Genomic DNA, 20,355 nt, shown 5'->3' on the forward strand with positions numbered 1-20,355 from the left:
GTGTTAGCCAGGATGGTCTCCATCTCCTGACCTCGTGATCCGCCTGCCTCGGCCTCCCAAAGTGCTGGGATTACAGGCGTGAGCCACCGCGCCCGGCCTGCAATTATGTTTTTAAAACTTAAAGCAAAACAAAAAATGACCCTTCTATCCCTCTTTTCATACCCATATTTTGGCAACCACTGATATGCTTTCTGATATTATAGGTAAGTTTATGTTTTCTAGAATTGTATATAAATTGAATTATATAGATTTTATATAATTTTATGTAAATGGAATCATACAGTGCTCTTTTTTGGCCTGACTTCTTTGACTCAGCATACTGGTTTCTTTTTTAAAAATTGGTGAATAGGGCTGGACGCGGTGGCTCATGCCTGTAAACCCAGCACTTTGGGAGGCCAAGGTGGGCAGATCACTTGAGGCCAGTTGTTCGAGACCAGCCTGGCCAACAAGGCGATAGCCCATCTCTACTAAAAATACAAAAATTAGCTGGATGTGGTGATGCACGCCTGTAGTCCCAGCTACTTGGGAGGCTGAGTCAGGAGAATCACTTGAACCCAGGAGGCAGAGGTTGTAGTGAGCCGAGATTGTGCCACTGCACTCCAGCCTGGCTGGGCAACAGAGTGAGACTCCATCTCAAAAAAGAAAAAGAAAAAAATTGGTGAATAGTATTCCACTGTACAGATCTACCATAATTGTTTATTCACTAATTCACCAATTGATGGACATTTGTTTTCAGCTTGGGGCTATTACAAATAAAGCTGCTATGAACACTCTAGTATAAGTCTTTGTATAGACATTCAGTTTTGTTTCTCTGGGGTAAATTCCCATAAGTCGATTGGCTGGGTCATCTGGTACTGTAAGTTTTAACTTTTTAAGAAACTGCTAAACTATCTTTCAAACTGTTTGTGCCATTTCACATTTCCATCAGTGGTATATGACAATGCTGATTAATTTAGTAAAATAATCTTTTTAATTTTAGCCAATCCAGTAGATGTGGTTACTTGGGTTTTTATTTGCATTTCCCTGATGACTTCTGATGTTGACTATCTTTGTGTAGGGACAAGGAGAAGTGGGTTTTTTGGCCATTAGTTCACCTTTTGTGAAATGGCTGTTTAAATGTTTAAATCTTTTGCCCATTCCTTTACATTGGATTATTTGTCATCTTAGTGAGTGGTAAGAATACTTCAAATATTCTGAATACAGGCTTATACAAAGATATATACATAAATATATTACACAAATGTATCTAATAGTTCTCTCTATATAAAAACACTAAAGATGTTGCTCTATCATTTTCTAGTTTCCAGAGTTTTTTTTATTAAGAAATCCATGGTACCAGCCTGGCCAACATGGTGAAACCCTGTCTCTGCCAAAAATACAAAAAATTAGCCACGTGTAGTGGCGCACGCCTGTAGTCGCACCAACTCCAGAGGCTGAGGCAGGAGAATCACTTGAGCCCTGGAGGCGGAGGTTGCAGTGAGCAGAAATTATGCCACTTCACTCCAGCCTGGGCGACTGCGTGAGACTCCATCTCAAAGAAATCCATGGTAATGTGAATTGTTACCCTGTATGTAATATATTGAATTTTTTTCCTAGCTGATTTTGAGTATTTCTTTACTTTTGGTTTGCAGCATTTTGTGTCTTGGTTTTCTATGAGTTTATTCCTTTTTGAATTGGTACATTGATGTCTTTTACCGTATTTGTGAAGTTTGAGGTGATTGTTTCTTCAGATAATTTTTCTGCCCCAATATTTTTCTCCAGTCATTCTGGGACTCCGACTGCATATGTTTTAGTCCTTTTGATATTGCCCTACATGTCCTTGAGGCGCTGTTTATTTTTTCCTCAATCTTTCTTTTCTCTGTGTTCCTCAAATTGAATCATTTCTGTTAATCTTTAAGTTCACTGACTTTTTTTTCTTTGTCATCACCATTCTGCTCTTCAGGCCATTCAGTGAATTTTTCTTTTAAGAATTTTTGTTGTCTGTTTAAAAATTTTATTTTGGTACTTTTTATAGTTTCTATTTCTCTGCTGAGAATTTTTACTTTCTTGTTTATTTCAATATGTTCTTCTTTACCTCGTGGAGCATAATTATAATAACCGCTTTAAAGTATTCAATAATTCCATCATCTGGTGATTGCGTTTTCCATTGAGGATTGTTTACATTTTCTTGGTCCTTTGTATTTCAAGTAGTTGTGGCTTGCATCCTGGACATTATGGGTGTTATATTGTGTAGACTCTTTTATCCTCTGAAGAATGTTGATATTTTTGTTTTGGCTGGCGATCACCCTGCTCAGGTTCAGACCTTAGTTCTGTTTCACCATCTGTGGCCAGTGGCTCCAATGTTAGTTTAGTTCTCCTAGCCTTTGTATGGTAGGCAGAATAATGGTCTCCAAAGATGTCCATTTCCTAATCCCTGAAGCCTTGGTAATATTTTAGGTTACATAATGAAGAGGAGTTAGGTTGCAATTAGAGTTGCGGTTGCTAATCAGCTGACCTTAAAATAAAGAGGTTATCCTGGATTATCTAGTTAGGCCCAGTGTAGTCATAAGGTTTTTAAAAGTGAGAAAGTGAGGCAGAAGAGTCAGTATCAGAGTGACAAAGTGTGAGAAAGATTCAGCCTGCACTTGTGGCTTTGATGATGGGAGGGGGGCCCAAGCTAAGGAATGTAAGCAGTTTCTAGAAGCTGAAAAACAGAAAGAAACGGATTCTCTCCAGAACTTCCAGAAGGAATACAGCACTGTTGCTATCTTGATTTTAGCCCAGTGAGACCCATTGTAGACTTCTGACCTCCAGAATCTTAAGATAATTTGTGTTGTTTTAAGCCGTCAAGCTTGAGGTTAATTTGTTATAGCAGCAATAGAAACTAATAGACTTTGCTATATTGGTTTGAGTCTGTTCTGCACATATGTAGCTCAGTGATTATTCTGTAACTTTTGCAGGTTCATGCACAGATTTAAGGGATCCTCTTTTCTGATTCTCTCCCCTCTGGGATTTCCCCCATGCTGTATAGCCTACAGGGTCTACTTCTGGTTTCTCTGGATAGAAATATGGGACTCATTGGAATTTTACCTGTTGGCATTTCCACACCACTCTGTGACCAAAGCCTGCCTTCAGGGCAAAGTAGAGAAAGGAAATGGAACAATATTAAAACAGAAACTCACCCCTGTGTGTTTTGCTTCAGCAAGTTTTTGACCCTATAACCTATTATAAAGTGAAATGAAAATGTGGACACCTGTGAAGCGGTCCGAGTGCAAAATTTGTCTAGACTTTCAATTTTTTTCCCCAGTCTTTTAGAGTTGTCTCCTACCTAATTCAACAACAATTTTAGTGGCTTGCCTTTTTGAGTTTTTCCAGTGATTTCAGCTGATCTTCTCAGAATTGCTTTCTTCATCTATTTTGCAAGTTAATTGAATTACCTAATAGCTATACCAAGCATAACTCGAAATGCCACAGCTGAACTTGGGCAAGCTCCTAACTCCACTAAGTACAGAAGTGGAGCCGTACAGCCATGAATGTCAGGCATGTTGTGGGGACTAGTTGTATTAGTTTTCTATTGCCACCATAACAAATTACCACAAACTTAAGCAATATAGTACAAATTTATCTTAAAGTTATTGGCAGGTCAGAAGCCTGATACGGATCTCATTGGGCTAAAACGAAGGAGTTGGCAGGGCTGTGTGTTCCTTTCTGTAGGCTCTGGGCAGGATCCATTTCCTGCACTTTTTTGGCTTTTGGAGGTCGTCCACATTCCTTGGCTCCTGGCCCTGCTCCTTCATCTTCAAAGCTACCAAAGGTAAGTCATGTCCTTTTTCATTATTTCACTCTGATAGCCTCTTTTGCTTTTTTTTTTTTTTTTTTTTTTTTGAGACGGAGTCTCACTCTGTCACCAGGCTGGAGTTCACTGGCACGATCTCGGCTCACTGCAATATCTGCCTCCTAGGTTCAAGCGATTCTCCTGCCTCAGCCTTCCGAGTAGGGATTACAGGCACCGGCCACCATGCCCAGCTAATTTTTGTATTTTTAATAGAGACGAGGTTTCACCATGTTGGCCAGGATGGTCTTGATCTCTTGACTTCATGATCCGCTTGCCTTGGCCTCCCAACCTCTTCTGCCTTTTAAGGACCCCTGTGATTGTATTGGGCCGTCCTGGATAATCTTTCCATCTCAAGGTCTGTAACCGTGTCCCTAGGGATTAGGACATGGACATTTTGGGGGCTGGGGGAGGATTAGTCTGTTGACCATACCAGTTAATCTTATTTACAGAGGATGTGGAGAGTAATGATTAATATGTTGAGCTGATGAAGTAGACAAGTGGCTGCTGTATGTAGAAGTAATGTTGGAACAAATAATACGTCCCAGAATAGTTTCTGTAAGGCTGATTTTACTCTGAAATTTTAATTAATTTATAGTTAATATAACTACCTCTGTATTTTGTTGTAGTCTTTTGTGGGTAGAGTTGAGGAAGAGATAGGAATGGGATTATTTTGACATGGCTCATGATCACCAAAATGTGATCCTTGGTCAGTTTACCTAAATATCAATGTAATTATGTTTATCTAATTTAATAATTTGCTGAAATCTTCCTTATTTTTTACTTTTTATGAAGCTTTTAGCCATTTATATTAGATGGTGATTTTTAAAACAACTTTTGAAGACTTAAGTGACATTTTAGTAGATATGATTGATTTAATATGATTTTAGTTTTAGACTTTTAAAATTTGATTTAGCTAAATCCATCCTCTATAGCTAATTCTCCATATCTGACCAAAGTTGAGTATCTGAGGATTTTCTAAACTTGGGAAGATCTAAAATTTTTGATTATGAAAATTTCTTGTGCATTTCAAATTATAAGTCTTATTCATGGCTCTAATGTGAGTAATAGTACTAAATAATATTCACATGTATATTTCAACACATTTTAAATTCAGCCAACTACTTTTAAAATTTATCTTTTTTTTTTTTTTTTTTTTTTTGAGACCAAGTCTCACTCTTTTGCCCAGGCTGGAGTGCAATGGTGTGATCTTGGCTCACCACAACCTCTGCCTCCTGGGTTCAAGTGATTCTCTTGCCTCAGCCTCCCGAGTAGCTGGGATTACAGGCATGTACCACCACACCTGGCTAATTTTTGTTTTTTAGTAGAGATGGGGTTTCACCATGTTGGCCAGGCTGGTCTCGAACTCCTGACCTCAGGTGATCCACCTGCCTTGGCCTCCCAAAGTGCTGAGATTACAGGCGTGAGCCACCGTGCCTGGCCAAAATTTATCTTAATTCAGACTTTACAATTGACTTTATTAAATAAATATTTTTAAGTAGAAGAAATGTTTACTGACTAATATATGAATCATAATTAAAATTGAACTTCAGTTACGCTAACAAGTCCACTGAAACGTAGCTGGAGTAACTAACTGCAGCAAAACTTGGTTCAATGTAGAAATCTAAAACTTAAAGCAACACATGCAATATGAATTGCTTTAAATCTTTAGTTGTTAATTGAAATGCATTTTAGGCAAATTGGTCACATTCTAGGGTGTGGGTTGGCGGGTTTCATTCTCTACCTTTTCAGCCAGGATACAGTTCTGTGTCCCAACAAGTATAGTGTAGTCAGTGACTTTTCCTTTTATGATGACCATAAATCTCTTCAGACTAGTGTTTGTAAGAAGACGGGAAAATAGTAAAATATGTTAGAATTATTTGCACCAAAAACCAAATTTTAAAAATTAGTAGTTTTATCACCTAGGCAGAAAACTTTTCTATTAGAAATTATACAGTCTCTCATCTCAAATACCATGTTTTACTGTTCTAAGAATCAAATAGTGCTATAGTGAAAAAAAGAGAGTAGTTTTTTTCTGAAACTATCTACTATACTGTATAACATGAGAAATTTCTCAAAAAATATGTTTTTTTTTTCCATAATCATGTCTGGTCTCTTTTTTGAGACCAAGATGAAACCATGTTGCTTGGTCTTCAACCATCAGCTTATCTGTTCTCTAATGATTTTTGTTGTTCTGGTTTGGTCTTAAAGTTTTGAGAATTCATTTTATTATAAATGTGAAAGTTCATTTAAATATTGTGTTCTTTTTGTTCCTGTAAAGGAAAAAGAATATCTAGAATAAAGTAATAACTTGTACCATGTTGTAGACTTGCTTCAGTTGATGAATGCTTCTCCTATTATTTGAAAAGGATTCACCTTTCAAAAACAAAACAAAAAAAAACTGTCTACCATGCAAAAACAAATGACTTTCTGAGGTTGCTTAACCATTTCCTGTAAGTATGGGAAAGCGGTTATTTTCAAAATCACCAGACAGAATTTGGGTAGAACTAAACTTAGCTGAGCAGTTCTGTGGGTTAAACTCACTTATTGTTTCACTTCTATCTTCCTCTAGAGAAGTTAAAATTTAAAAATTAAAAAAAGAAATCTGCTTGGTTCCTGTCATTTTTACTAACTAGCTGAGTATCTTTGGACAGAAGCTAATTGTTTTTTTTATAAATGTAATAGGATTAGAGATTCTCTTTAAAAAGCTTACAGTTTTTTAAAATAGCAATAGCTATTTTTTAAAAAAGCTTCTGGTTTTTAAAAATAGCAAAACAAAGTGTCAGCAGCATGGGCACTGTGCTGTACGTTCATCCCTCAGTATCCTCTGAGGATTGGTTCCAGGATCCCCTCCCCCCTACCAAAATCCACCAATATTCAATCCCTGTATATTTGCATATAACCAGTTTACACGAATCATCCCATTTACTTTAAATTATCTTTAGATTACTTACAAAACATAATACAATGTAAATACTATGTAAATTATACTGTATTATATTATTATTTTTGATTTTTTCAATTTTTTTAAATCTGCCATTCAGTCTATAGATCTGGAACCTGTAGATACAGACTAACTGTATTTGGATAATTTCATAATTTTAATGAGAGAAAGGGGAGAGGGGAAAGCCTGGTTTACTGCCCATGATGAAGTAGTAATACAGTAAATTTAGTTGAGACATCAGCCAACCTTTTTTGAATACCTACTAAGTACCTGGCTGAGAGAGTTGTAGAAACCACAGTGTCAATGTGTTTCTACACATTTCTATAATTGTTGGAGTTGTGTTTATCTCTAGAATTTGTGGTACTATCCTAAACCTCCATGCAACTCTTTAGTTGTGATGTAGAGGTGGCTCTGTGACCCCCCAGCCTTCTCCAGAGGCTATGTAGACATGAAGCGTTTAGTTGGAACTAGGGACTTGATTTGACATTCCTGGACTTATACCCAAAGTCTAAAAGGGTGTTAAAGGGGTATACGTACTGCAGTCAAAAAAATGGTGGGTTTGGAACTTGGCTCTGCTACTTAATAGCAAGTTCTTAAACCTCTTTGTTTCTCACTTCAGCTGTAAAATGTGAGGATTAAATGTTAACTAATGTGTGTAAAATGCTAATTAATATAGACAGCTGATAATTTTTTGAGTACACACTGTGTGCTAGACTGTGTTCTAAATGCTTTTACATATCATTTAATTCGTATAACTCAATGAGATAGATAATATTATTATCCCCATCTTATAAATGAGCAAACTGAGCTTGGAAAGATGAAGTAACTTGCTTAAGGCTACACAGGAAGTGGCAGAGCAGTCTGGTTCCAGAGATACCCTTTTTTCTTTTTCTTTTCTTTATTCTTTTTTTTTTTTTTTCAGGCTAGTCAAGTGAAGCAATGAGGGTGGAGAAGGAACAAATAAGCCTGTAACTGGTTGTGATCCATTAGTTGTAAATACCACTGCACTGGGACCAACTTCCAGAGATATTCTTAATTACTCTGCTGTGCCGTCTCTTTATTGCTTAGCTGGGTATTAGCATATGATTTGCCCTCAGTGAATGTTGGCTTTTATCAACATTGTCAGTGGTGGTAGTGACGATGATGAACTTGGTTTTACTTTTTCAGTGTCTAACCTGGTCCCGTGCTAGGACCCCAGGCAGAGCTTCCTATGAAGTCACGTACAACAAGGCCTTTGGGCTTAAGAGAAAAAGCTCACAGCTGCACAGAGGGAGGAGTTTTTATATAAAGAATACAAAATGTTCTGAATACCAAGTGTTTCATTCTCTCCTTATGTTTCTGAGTTGAAATTTGAAGTAATCATGAGACACTGCATGTGTTCCCATTTCAAAGATGCCACAGAATCATAAAACTAGTATGTAGCATATAATTTCAATTTTGTCTTAGGGGATAAATTAGTCTAAGAATAGTATACCAAAACATTAATTGTGATAATAGTGTAGTGATCAATTTATGAATGAAATGATCCTCTATTACTGCATGGCACATCATAAAACTTAATGGCTTAAGGCAACAACCATTTTCTTTGCTCATGATTTTTTAGGTCAACAGTTTGGATTATATTCTGCCGGGTGTTTCCTCTGCTGATCTTGCATGAGGTCACTCTTGTAGCAGTCATCATCTGGCAGCTTGACTTGGAGCCGGATGGTCTAAGATAGTTTCACTCATATCTGCCAGTTGATGATGGCTTTTGACTGGGTTTGGCTTTCCATGTGGTTCCTCGTCCCCAGGGAGCCTAGCTTAGATTTCTTCTCATGGGGCTCTCCAGTAGTAAAAGATAAATGTTGAAAGCTACAAGGCCTCTTAAAGCCTAGGATTGGACATTCCACAGTGTCATTTCTGCTGCATTCCATTGATTAAAGCAAGTTACAAGGCTGGATTCAGTGGCGATAGAAACTTCACCTAATAATTGGAGATTAATAGCAAATTCCTTTTTAAAAAAGAATGTTTTGTTTATTAATTTTTTAAATTGACACATTATAATTGTACATATTTATGGGGTATAATTCCATGTTTTGATACATATCTGTGCTATATAATGATCCAGTAAGGTAGTATATTGATCACCCATGCATTTATCATTTGCTTGCAGTGAGAACATTCAAAAGTTTCTATTCTAGCCATTTTGTAATATGCAATATTTTACTGTTAAACACAGTCACCCTGCTGTGCAATAGAACACCAGAATCTCTTCCACTTATCTAATTGTAACTTTTTATCCTTTGACCAACCTCTCCCCATCTTCTCCCTTGTCCCCTCCCCAGTCTTTGGTAACTACTGTTCTACTCTCTGCTCTTCTATGATTGATATCAACTTTTTTTTTTTTTTAAGATTCTACATTTGAGTGAGATCATGTGGTATTTGTCTTTCTGTGTCTGACTTTTAATAGCAGATTGTATCGTGATATCCTTGTCTCCTGATTTCACTGTCGTGGATCAATTCTAAAACATCCTAATAGCATTGATAGTTTTTTGTTAATTTATTAAGATCTTGGCAGATGAAAACATGATCTGTACATGTTTGAGAGGTTTATTTCTATTTTTTAATATAAAAATAAAATATAGATAATATAAATACCCAACATACCGACAACTCCACCTCTCAGAAATGACCAGTTAACCTTCTTATTTTCAGTGTATCCAACTGGATATTTATTTAAATGTTTATAACCTGCTTTTCTCTCTTTATATTTTGAATACTTTTCTATGTTTAAAATAGGTATAAATAATTTTTTGTCTGCATAATATCTTATTCAGTATGAATATACCTATCCCTTGTTGTTTTAGGTTTTTCTCTTTTTTTGCTATGTAAACTATACTGCTGTAAACATTCTTATATGTATATCTCTGGCACTTACTCCAAGGAAAAAATCCTACTATGAAGTTACTTGGTCAAATAAGTATTTTGGACTTTTGATATGTATTGACGAGGCATGATTTTAAGAATTCTCTGGTTTAAACTTATTAGTGAGTATAATGTTGCAGAGCTGAATTCATTATGTTTGAGATCATGTGAAAGGGAAATTTCTGAAAGCTAATTTGAAATAGCAACCATTAAGAAAAATATATTTCTTTAGCATTTCATTTACAAATCAAAATGTATAAACTTAGTTGCTAATATTTTCTTGTTTTTCTGGTGTTGCAGTTTTTTGTTGATACATAATAGTTATACATATTTTTAGAATTGATGTGACATTTTGATACATGCATACAGTGTGTAATGATCAAATCAGGGCAGTTGGAATATCCATCACCTCAAACATTTATCTTTTCTTTATGTTGGGAACATTCCAATTCTTCTATCTATTTTGCACTGTACAGTAAATTATTGTTAATGGGTATGAAAATAAAGTTAGAAGGAGTAAGATCTAGCATTCGATAGTACAGTAGTAGGTTGTCTGTAGCTAACATTGTCTTAGTGACCAAAGCTTTCATTTTGCATTTGGGTCCACTAATTAGAGTTCTTCATCTTTCTTTTTACATGTGGATATGTGTTGCCTTTCATTCATCTGTAATTTCCAGGTCCTTAAAAAAAAAAAGTAGATTGAGAATGCAGGCATTTTGAAGACTGGGTGCAAAAATCCTAGAATTCTGCCTCCCAACCCCAACCCCCAACCCCAAGGTATTAGGTTTTTCTTGCGCATACCTAATTTGGCAGCAGTGTTATTTTGAGGACTCATTTTTGTAGGATCTTTCTGATACATAACTCAGTTTTCATAAAAACAATTTTTATATTTTTCATTTAATGACACAATATTTAATTATTATAAAACCATAATTACAAGTTTAACTAACATAAATCAGCTTGAGAACAAACAACTAATTCTTAGAGTAGAGTGCCTCTGGTGAGAGCATATGTGCTTGGACCTTCTGGAGAGTAGCCCTTTAGTTGTGGGCATTCATTGAGCACTTAGCATCTGAAAATGTCTTACAGAGAGAATGGAAGACATTGGTTAATTTGGAGGTTTGTTAAGTCAACATGGGTTAAAAGAATTTCTACCTTGTTTGTTGTGATAGTCATTTTTCTTCTTTTACTGAAGGCAATGACTTCTTCCTCATTAAATTTTTTTAGGTTTTAGATTTTATGATTAAGATTTGTATTATATTATAGTTATTTATTTGGTCCTGTCCTTGATCTTTTTCACAGCAGGATTCTTTATGTGCTACGGTTTTTGTTTCTGTTTGCAATTGTCCTTGGTCATTGGCATTCTCTAGTGGAATTTCTCCTTTTCAACTAAAATGTTCTCCTGGATAGATATTTAAAACAATGTGCAAAATTAAACCAGAAGTGGCTCATCTTTTCTGCTTCTTTTCTTTAGCACTGTAATGTTGATTTTTTGCTTATAGGACTATAGAACTGCACAGCTGCGATTAGACTTCATAAATATAACGCAGTAGAGAATTTGAAAGTGATGGAGGCCAAGTGTGGTGGCTCACACCTGTAATTCAAGCACTTTGGGAGGCAGAAGTGGGAGGATTGCATGAGACGAGGAGTTTAATACCAGCCTGGGCAACATAGTGAGACCCTATCTCTACAAAAATTTTTTTAAAAATTAGCTTAATATGGTGGCACATGCCTGTAGTCCCACCTAGTCAGGAGGATGAGGTGGGAGGATTGCTTGAGCCTGGGAGTTTGAAGTTGCAGTGAGCTATAATTGTGCCATTGCACTCCAACCTGGGTCACAGAGTGAGACTCTGTCTTACATATATTTGTGTGTGTGTGTGTGTGTGTGTGTGTGTGTGTGTGTGTGTGTGTAGTGAAGAGAAACCTGGCCCTACCAGTGATGGAGTCCTGGCTTTACCACTTAGTATATGTCGGAACCTCAGTTTTCTCAAAGGTAAAATGTGGATAATAACTGCCCTGTCTACTTATATTATTGTAGGAGTCAAATAAGATAAGTGGGTCACAACACTTTTCAAACTATGAAGTGCTTTATTAATAAAGAGCTCATTGCTATTATATTAAATAATTAGGTTAGAAGCTTCAAAATCATAAGACAATAAACGTGTCTTTAACTTTTCAGCAAAGCACACTAGTCTTTCTCTTTAAGATTCATTAGCATAATTTCCCCCTCATGCCTTAAAAATGATGTTTCATTGTCATTCACAGCACACATTAGTAGGTAAATTCTTAAAATATGAAAAGTCCAGAAACCTTGTTTTGCCTTTAACACCAAAAATACCAAATCACTTACGTAAGCAACAACTCTGGCCTCTTGACGTCTTTTAGGGTCAGCTGGAACAATGTCCGTGGAGAACCCTCAGGTATAGTGGAACTTTAGATATTATCTGTTTCACAGAGATTTTGACACACAGATTTTACATTTTAAGTCATCTGACTTCTAAGACATTTGTCAAATGGCTGCCTTGATATAAAAACACTATAACTGCTCCCAAAACATCCCTAAGAATTAAGTGTCTCTAAAGGCCATGTTCATGTACTATACTGCATTTACACAGTAAAACTCAACGTACTGGATGACAGCTACAATTTGTAGCCTGGCTATTATTATTATTTTTTTTTTTTGGTAGAAGCTGGGTCTCACTGTGTTGTCCAGAGTGGTCTTAAACTCTTGGCCTCAAGTGATCCTCCTGCCTCAGCCTCCCAAAGTGCTGAGATTACAGGTATGAACCACTGTGCCTGGCGTCTTCACTATATTTTATGTCTTCTAAACCATAATTGACTTGAATTATCAACCAGCTTTGAGGAAAGAAGAGGAAAAGTAGTAAGTATATAAAAAGTAGTTCTCAAGAATCAGTGTCTAGTAGAACTGAAAGGCAGTGACTCAGATCCCATAGTCACTGAAATACTACTAAGTCCTCCTGATTTAAGATCCAGCCCCACAGCAGGTATTAGAAGGACCTTGTTAACCTTATAGACAGTGTATGAATTTTATCTTATTCCAAGCCTCCAGTAAACCTGGATTCAGCCCTTGAAGAGTTTATGCATGGACATGGAGGTAATTTTTGTTTATACTTCATTTTAATATATTAGATTATTGCTACTTTCATTTCAACATTTATGGCAGGTTTCTTCCCTGCTAGGCACCAGGAATACAAAGATGAATGAGGTTATGAACCTCTCCTTGGAGGAATTATTCATATTTGGAGCAAAATTTATAATTGCAGTTTACTTATGCAGAAATTCTTTTTTTCTACAGCATAAACCGGGCCTTGAGAGTTTCCTAAACCTTCTATCCTCAACTTCTAATTCTTGAACAGCAAAAAGTTACCAGGATTGAAATGTATCCGTTATTCTAGAAAAGTAAATGTAGAGCAGGTTTTGGAACTCAATATTTCATCCTAAATGTGAAAGACTGTATAGGCAAATAGTGTGCATAATTTCCTTTTTCCAGGGTTGAGGGGCTGCCAGTGGTGTGTAGTGGGGAGAGAGTGAAGTGACTCATAATTCTGGAATGATTGTTTTGATCTCCTCCTGTAGCCTCTGTAGGATACTGGCAGGGCAACCAGCATAATTAACACTACACAGTCTAATTATAAACAAAACTCTATGTACAGTGGCTACCAAGAAGCAAGCCTGTACTGGATAATCCCCCAAGTTGGCAGGATTACTTTTAGAATGATTATTAGATAGTGTCGTTTACTATAAATCAAGTTGTTTTTCTTTGATTGTCCAGGGACTTACCCTGGGGGGAAAGTGAATATAATAATATTTGTGGAAGTCTTCTGGGTTATTTTTTTCAGGGCCCATTTAAGGATTTCTTTATTGCAGTTCTTATAACCTTTTTGTCTTAAGAGAACATTTGTACATCTTACTATGTATGGCGTACTCTTTTAGGGAGAGTAGGAAAATTGGTCAGAGTAAGACATTTGTTCCAATAATAGTTGGATTGGTTTTTTTAAAGGTGAAAGAAACTAGGAATTTGAAAAGATTACATTGGACCGGTATAATAAATAAAGAGGGAGAAAAAAAGCCTATGGGCTGCAGAGAAGAGGATGGGATAAGGGGACAAAGTGAAGTGGCTATAGCTGCCATGCATGCTTGAGAGAAACCAAGATGTTTGTAACATGTGTATGGTCTCACATGCTGTTCAGAGGCAGAGCAGGCACTGTGCGTGGTTGTATGTGCTTTAGGGATTTGTGGAAGCATGGCTGAGAGCTGAGGACCAATTTAGTTTGTTTATATACAGGGCCACTGGGTCTCTTAGATTTAGAACAAAGATCCTAGCTGTGGAGATTTGTTTCACATAGCTGTGACCTGAACAACTGCAGAATGGTTATATTTATGCAAAATGAGCCTCAGAATTGTGATTACCTCAAATGAAGTAAGAATTTTAAATCAGATACTTCAAAATGAGGGCTTTTTTTCCTATCCAGAAAAACTCAGTTAAAATTTAAGTGGACACTTAAAAGGAGTTTCCCTTTTTAAGAAAGAAATACAGAAATCCAAATACAAAAATGAATGTTAAGTAGTTTTTTGCTTAAGAATGCTTGCTTTTTTTTTTTTTAACTTTTGATGAGCTCATAAGAAGTTTCCTTTAAATAGCAGTTCTGTAGTTCATTTTAAATATTTGGATTTACAAAGAAAATTTCCCTAGCTTTTTACTTGAAAGGAGAGGGAGAACATACTGTATTTTTCTAAATTTGGGCATAACTGGTATTATTACTGGCTAAATAATTTTGTGTTTGCCAGATAGTCTTGAAAGAGGGACAGATGTAAGACGGCTGGGCTTGTTAAAAGATCTCTGTCTCTAGCCTGTGACCCAGTTCTGATTTGTCCCTTTAAATTACCTAACTAGACTTTTGAGAAGTGAAAAATTGGTTTTGGAGATGCACCAGGACAATGGTATGTGTGGATTTTTGGGCCAGTTTCTAGGAGAATATGAGTTAGAGCCGTCCACACTACTTTCCTGCCCTCTAGCAGCATTTTTTGCATTATTTTTCAGTTGTTTATCTGGTTTCTATTTTGTTGATTTTTGCCCTGTTTTTTTTTTATTATTTTTTCTACTTAGGTTTAATTTGGTATTCTTTTCTAGGTTCTTAGGGTGGAAATGTCGTTATTTTTAAACCTTTTCCCAATATAGGCATTTAAAGCAATAAATTTTCTTGAATTTTGATATATTATGTTTTTATTATTATTTATTTCAAATATTTTATATATTCCTTGTGGTTTCTTCTTTGACTTATGGATTACTTAAAGTCTTTTGTTTTTATTTTCCAAATATCTAGGGATTGTTTACCTAATTTACTAATTGATTTTTTAATTGTTTCCATTGTGTTTAGAGAACAAAGTCTCTAAAAAGCATATTTCAGTCTTTTGAAGTTGATTGTGATTTATTTTATTTTATTTTGCTTTATTCCATCTTGGTGAATGTTTCATATGTATTTCTGCAGTTGTTTGATTTTATATTCTGTGAATGTCAGGTCAAATTAGTTAATAGTATTGTTCCGATCTTCCGTGACCTTACTTATTTGTTGTCTACTTGTTCTATCAGTTATGAAGAGAAAGGATATGGTTGTGGATGTTTTTGTTTGTTCTATTCTTCATAAAAAACTTCTTTTTGAAACACTGTTATTAGGTATACATATTTAAGATTGATATCCTGCTGAATTTCTCCTTTTATCATCATAAAATATTCTTCTTTGTTAATCTATTTGTGTCTAAATTTAAAATGCATCTCTTACAGACAGTGTATATAGTTGTTTCTTGCTGTTTTGTCCCCATTGTGACAGTCTCTGTTACAATGTTTAATCCATTTACAGTTAATGCATAGGTCAGGTTTAAGTCTACCATGTTGCCACTGTTTTCATTTGTTCCTTTTGTTTTTGTTTATCTGTTTCTCCTTTATTCATTTTTTTTGGATTAAGTGGGCAATTTTAGTATTTCATTTTATTTTCTCTATTGGATTCTTAACTATGCATCTTTTTAAAATCACTTTTTCAGTGTTTCTTCTAGGATTAATAATATGCATCATTAAGTCTGTGTATAGTCAGTATTGTACCATTTCACATTCTATACCTGACCCTTCTTCCTTTCTGCTTAATTTCTCTTACTCAACTTCTGTATTCTCTGTGCTTTTGTTGTCTTTTATTTTTTGGTTTTAAGCATACAGTTTTTAAAGATAGTCTTTTAAGGAAATTATAAGAAGAATAAAGAATGTACACCTTTTATTTTAACATGTATTATTTCTGGTATTCTCTCCTTCCTGAAGATCTGAGTTTCCGTCTGGTAGTAGTTCCCTTCATCCTGAAGAACCTCCTTTAAAATTTCTTGTAGTATACATCTACTTGAGGAAAATGTGTTCTAAATGAATTCTGTAAGCTGTCATTTATTTGAAAATGTCTTTTACTCTTGATTTTGAAGCATATTTTCACTGTATGTGCAAAGTTGAGTTTAGAATTTTCTTTGTCTTCCAACTCTTTAAAAATGCTCTATCATCTTCAGGCCTCCACCGTTGACATGAGAAGTTAGTGTATGTACTGTTGTTCATCTGTATGTAGCATTGTTTCCAGGTTCTCTTAAAGGTTTTCTTTTTATCTTTAGTTTTAAGCAGTTTTGACCATGATGTGCTTAAGACATTATTATTTGTGTGTGTGTGTGTGTGTGTGTGTGTGTGTGTGTGTGTATTTATCTTTTTGGGGGTTTGCTGAACATTTTGGATCTGGTAAGTGGTGTTTTTCATCAAACTTAATAATATTTTAACTATTATTTCTTCAGATATTTTCTTCTGCTGCATTCTCACACTCCTTCTGTGGCTCCTGTTAGATACATGTTAGACTGTCTGATACTGTCCCCCAGATCCCTGATGCTGTGTTTATTTTTCTTCAATCCTTTGTCTCATTGTTCTTCAAATTGGTAATTTCTAATGATCTGTCAAGTTTATGGACTCTTTCTTTTGCTGTCTCCAATCTGCCATTAAGTCCATTTAGTAACTTTTTCATTTTATTTATTGAACCTTTTTCTCCTAGATTTTTCTTTTTTCCCTCTCATTTAGTTCTTTTTTAGTCTTGATTTCCCCACGGAGAGTCTCATCTATTCACATATTCTCATTTTTTCCTTTTTAAAATACATCTTCCTGCTTAATGATGGGGATACAATTGAAAAATAATAAAACACGTCTTCTTCAGGGATTCTTTTTTATTTATAATGGCTACTCTAAAGACTCACTAAATACAATGCAATATCTGGACCACCTTAAGATTGCTTTCTAATGATTTTGTTTACTTAGGGTTCACATTTTCTTGTTTCATTAAATGTCTAGTAATTTTTTATTACATATTGAATAGTGTCAATGGCACATGGTAGAGATGCTGAATTAAAAAAAACTCTGTAAAATGTTGATTTTTCTCTCTCTGTCTCTGTAGACAGCTTAGTTACTGGCTGATCACCTTGTGTAGGCTTATTTTTAAGGCAGATCTGTGGAAAGCCTAAGGTGTTTATCAGGCTCCTCTAACTTAGTGAGACTCATCCTTAAATACTTTTTCCCCTGTGGATTTTATTAGGGCTTGGTTTTAGGCTTTGTTACTATGGATCTAGAGTAGGTCTTATTCTAGGGTGTCACCTTTACTTCTACACTGAGGCCTTTCTAGTGTTTCAAGCTGATGCCTAGGGTGTTATGAGTTCTCTTTGCTCTGGCTGGGTTGACCTGCCACTACTTCCCTGCACTGCTTGACCTCTAGTATTTCTGTTCTGTCTTAACCTTATTGCAGCTACTTTCTTCTACACCTCATGTCCTAAATTGGCTAAGGACTCTCAGAAAACCTTGTGCAAACTTCTGTGACTCCCCTCTGCACGTGCCCCCCTTCACCAGCACTGCTCTGCTTAGACCCTAGCTTGCTGAACTACAGTTGGGAAATTGTCCCCAGAGAACCAGAGTGATTGTGGGCTCACCTGTTCCTTCACTCAGAGGTCACACTCTGTTAGCTAGTATGTGCAAACAGGTGTATTGTTTTGTCTAGTTTAATAGTTGTTTATGAGAGGAATGATAATCTGGTACCAATTACTCTGTTATATTGAAAGTTGAAGTCTCTCCCAGTATGCTCATGGACTGAATCATTGCTCGCTGATCTTCTCGCCTCCCACCCTCAGTCATCCATTTACTTTTCTCTTCACAAGGGAGACAAAGTCAGGGTGAGGGGCAGCAGAAGAAAGACCTTACTTGGATCTTGCTCCAATGTCATGACCTTGGGCCTCTGAACTAGAAAATTAAAGGTGTTGTGAAAAAGCACAATATACTAGGGGTAAAGTAGTAATGCATGCGGGACTTTACATGTTCATATTTTATGCCACTGCTTATACATTGAGGTGTTACACAAACAGGTGTCAGGAAAAGGGACGACTTAGATACATCTTCAAAACTTGTTTGCTGTTAATGACTGCCCTTCAGATTCTGGTGAGATAAGATACATCTAAACTTGTAACTTCTCATGAGCACTGTAATTAACAGGAAGAGATTTTCTTTGAGTATGGGTTTAGCGGGGGTTGGGTAGTGTTTTGTCCATTTGGACCTACCCAGAAAAAAATCACCTTTTTTTTGTTCTAAATTCTAGTGTTTTTCTTTCTTTTTAAGCTTAAACTTAAAAAAAATAGAATTTTTTTTGATAGAAGAGTATTCTCATTAGGGAAATAGTTACTTTATATGATACTTAGTCATCACTTTGGAAATTTATCTAGAAAATATTTTAAGTGCTGTCCCATACTTGGAACTTATAGTTCTATATAAATATGTCATAGGGGACTCAGAAGAATATTAGACTTTTTTCCTTGTTACTATTCTCTAAAAAATAACAGTATAACAACTATTTATATAGCATTTACAATGGATTGGATATTATAAGTAGTCTAGAGATGATTTAAAGTATGTGGGAGGATATGCAAAGATTAGATGCAAATATTACAGCATTCTGTAGAAGGGACTTGAGCATTTCTGGATTTTGGTTTCACAGGGAGCCCTGGAATGAATCCCCCACAGATGCCTAGGGACAGCTGTACATCCTATTACATTTTCTCAGAAAATGTGATGGCAGCTTAAAGCTTTAATCCTTCTAAAGTCTGTGAGAAGTTTGCTTCTTTTAGTTCAAGTTGCTGTTAATGTTGTTTGTCATGGCTTCGCTTTTTGTCCTGTCTTCTAAATTGTATCCCTCAATTGATGACTTGCTCTCTTGCCGGTAGCCTCTATGCACTGTAAATTTGCCTTCTCACCACATCCTCCCTATATGTTTAACCCTGTCTCTGTCTCCTACCTCTGCTTTCTCTACCTTTTATAAACATTTTGTTTAACTTTTATTGTGGTAAAATACACATAACACTTCTCTTCTTTTAGACCTGGGCTGGTAAGAAGTGCTGAAGATGTTTTTTAGAGATTTGTGGTATGACAAATTCCACTGGGGTTTCTGACCTTCTCAGTCATGCTTGTCTTGGGGTCACCACTCCTTGGCCCTCTCCTATGGCACCTGTCCCTCATTCTGCTCAAGCCCCTATGCCTTCCCAACAACTTGCCTTTAGCTCTGGGCAGATGTCTTTGCTTGCACTTGTCACAGAGAACATGAAGGCTCTCTGCTGTTTTGTGCCCATGCACATGCCTCTTCTCTGTCTTTACCTCCTGTCCTCCAGGCTTGGAGGGAGAGCACCTAGCTCCCATCATTTTCTTGTACACTCTCCCTGTCCCTCTGGATGCTACGCCAGCATTTTCCCTCCCCTACTCCTTCACCTCCACATTTTGTCTTTCTTTACTGTTCCTTTCCTGCAGAAATACATGCCCAAGTTGTTCCCATCTTAAACACAGACAAATGAAAAACAAAAGGATTTAAGTTTTGTCTATACCACATTTTCCTTTAGTTTATCCCTATGTTTTTTCCTTGATAAACTACTACATACCTTCAAAGAATAGTCTGCAGTCCTTGTTTTCTTTTGTTAACTTTCCATTTCTTCTTTGGGCCCCTGGAATCAGGCTTCTACTCTCACTATTAAAGTCACTGGTTCCCTGGTTACCAAATGTAAGGGTCTCTCTAGGCCTCATTTTACTTGACCTTTCTAAAATATTTAATGCTGGCCACTTTCATCTTTATGAAAGCTTTAGGTTTCTGGGATGCCACTCCTGATTTTCCTACCTTTGGTCCATTTCTTCTCCTTTGCTGACCTTCTTCCTCTGGCCACCCAGCTCTTAAATGCTGATCCTCCCTGAGTCTCCCTTTCGATAGTCTCATTTATCTGCATGGTTTTAATGACCATATCTGCACAGGTGATTCGGAAACCTGAATCTTCCACCCAGATCACTCTCTTGAGCTCTAAACCCACGTAACATAATCCTTTTAACAATTCTACAAAATAGCACTGTTTCCCACATTTATAGGTGAGGAAATTGAGGCTAAGAAAGGTAACCTGTTTGAAGTCAGTGGAAAAGCCAGGATTTTAACGTCTACCTAAAATCAGGCCTTTAACTCTATTAATCAAACATCTCCACCTGGTTATCTGACAGATATATCCTACACTGAATGCCATCTCATAATCCTGTTCTCCTTCCTTGCCTCAAAAAAAATTAGAAAATGTGAAAGACTATATTCTCAATCTCAGTGAATGA

The 20,355-nt window shown here is 36.2% G+C and overlaps 1 protein-coding gene across 3 annotated transcripts in view, besides 3 other annotated features; it reads left to right on the forward strand.

The window, feature by feature from the left end:
• Positions 1-20,355, forward strand: part of LNPEP (leucyl and cystinyl aminopeptidase) — a 101,434-nt gene that overhangs the window by 18,904 nt on the left and 62,175 nt on the right. Inside the window, exon 1 of one of the 3 annotated variants that reach the window (NM_175920.4) lies at positions 3,450-3,793. The exons of the other annotated variants lie outside the window; for them this stretch is intronic. The gene's annotated coding sequence lies outside the window, so the exon portion shown is untranslated. Of the gene's footprint in view, positions 1-3,449; positions 3,794-20,355 lie in introns of those variants that run through there. 3 annotated transcript variants of the gene reach the window in all.
• Positions 2,255-2,304: a silencer, noted in NCBI's record as "silent region_16201". NCBI's record gives its function as "represses an Ori minimal core promoter by ATAC-STARR-seq in GM12878 lymphoblastoid cells {active_cell/tissue: GM12878}" and the evidence as "EXISTENCE:reporter gene assay evidence [ECO:0000049][PMID:35858748]".
• Positions 3,255-3,314: an enhancer, noted in NCBI's record as "active region_22829". NCBI's record gives its function as "activates an Ori minimal core promoter by ATAC-STARR-seq in GM12878 lymphoblastoid cells {active_cell/tissue: GM12878}" and the evidence as "EXISTENCE:reporter gene assay evidence [ECO:0000049][PMID:35858748]".
• Positions 8,342-8,636: a silencer, noted in NCBI's record as "tiled region #4368; K562 Repressive DNase matched - State 5:Enh". NCBI's record gives its function as "represses a minimal TATA promoter and a strong SV40 promoter by Sharpr-MPRA in K562 cells {active_cell/tissue: K562}" and the evidence as "EXISTENCE:reporter gene assay evidence [ECO:0000049][PMID:27701403]".

Source organism: Homo sapiens, chromosome 5, assembly GCF_000001405.40.
Source record: "Homo sapiens chromosome 5, GRCh38.p14 Primary Assembly".
NCBI lineage: Eukaryota > Metazoa > Chordata > Mammalia > Primates > Hominidae > Homo > Homo sapiens.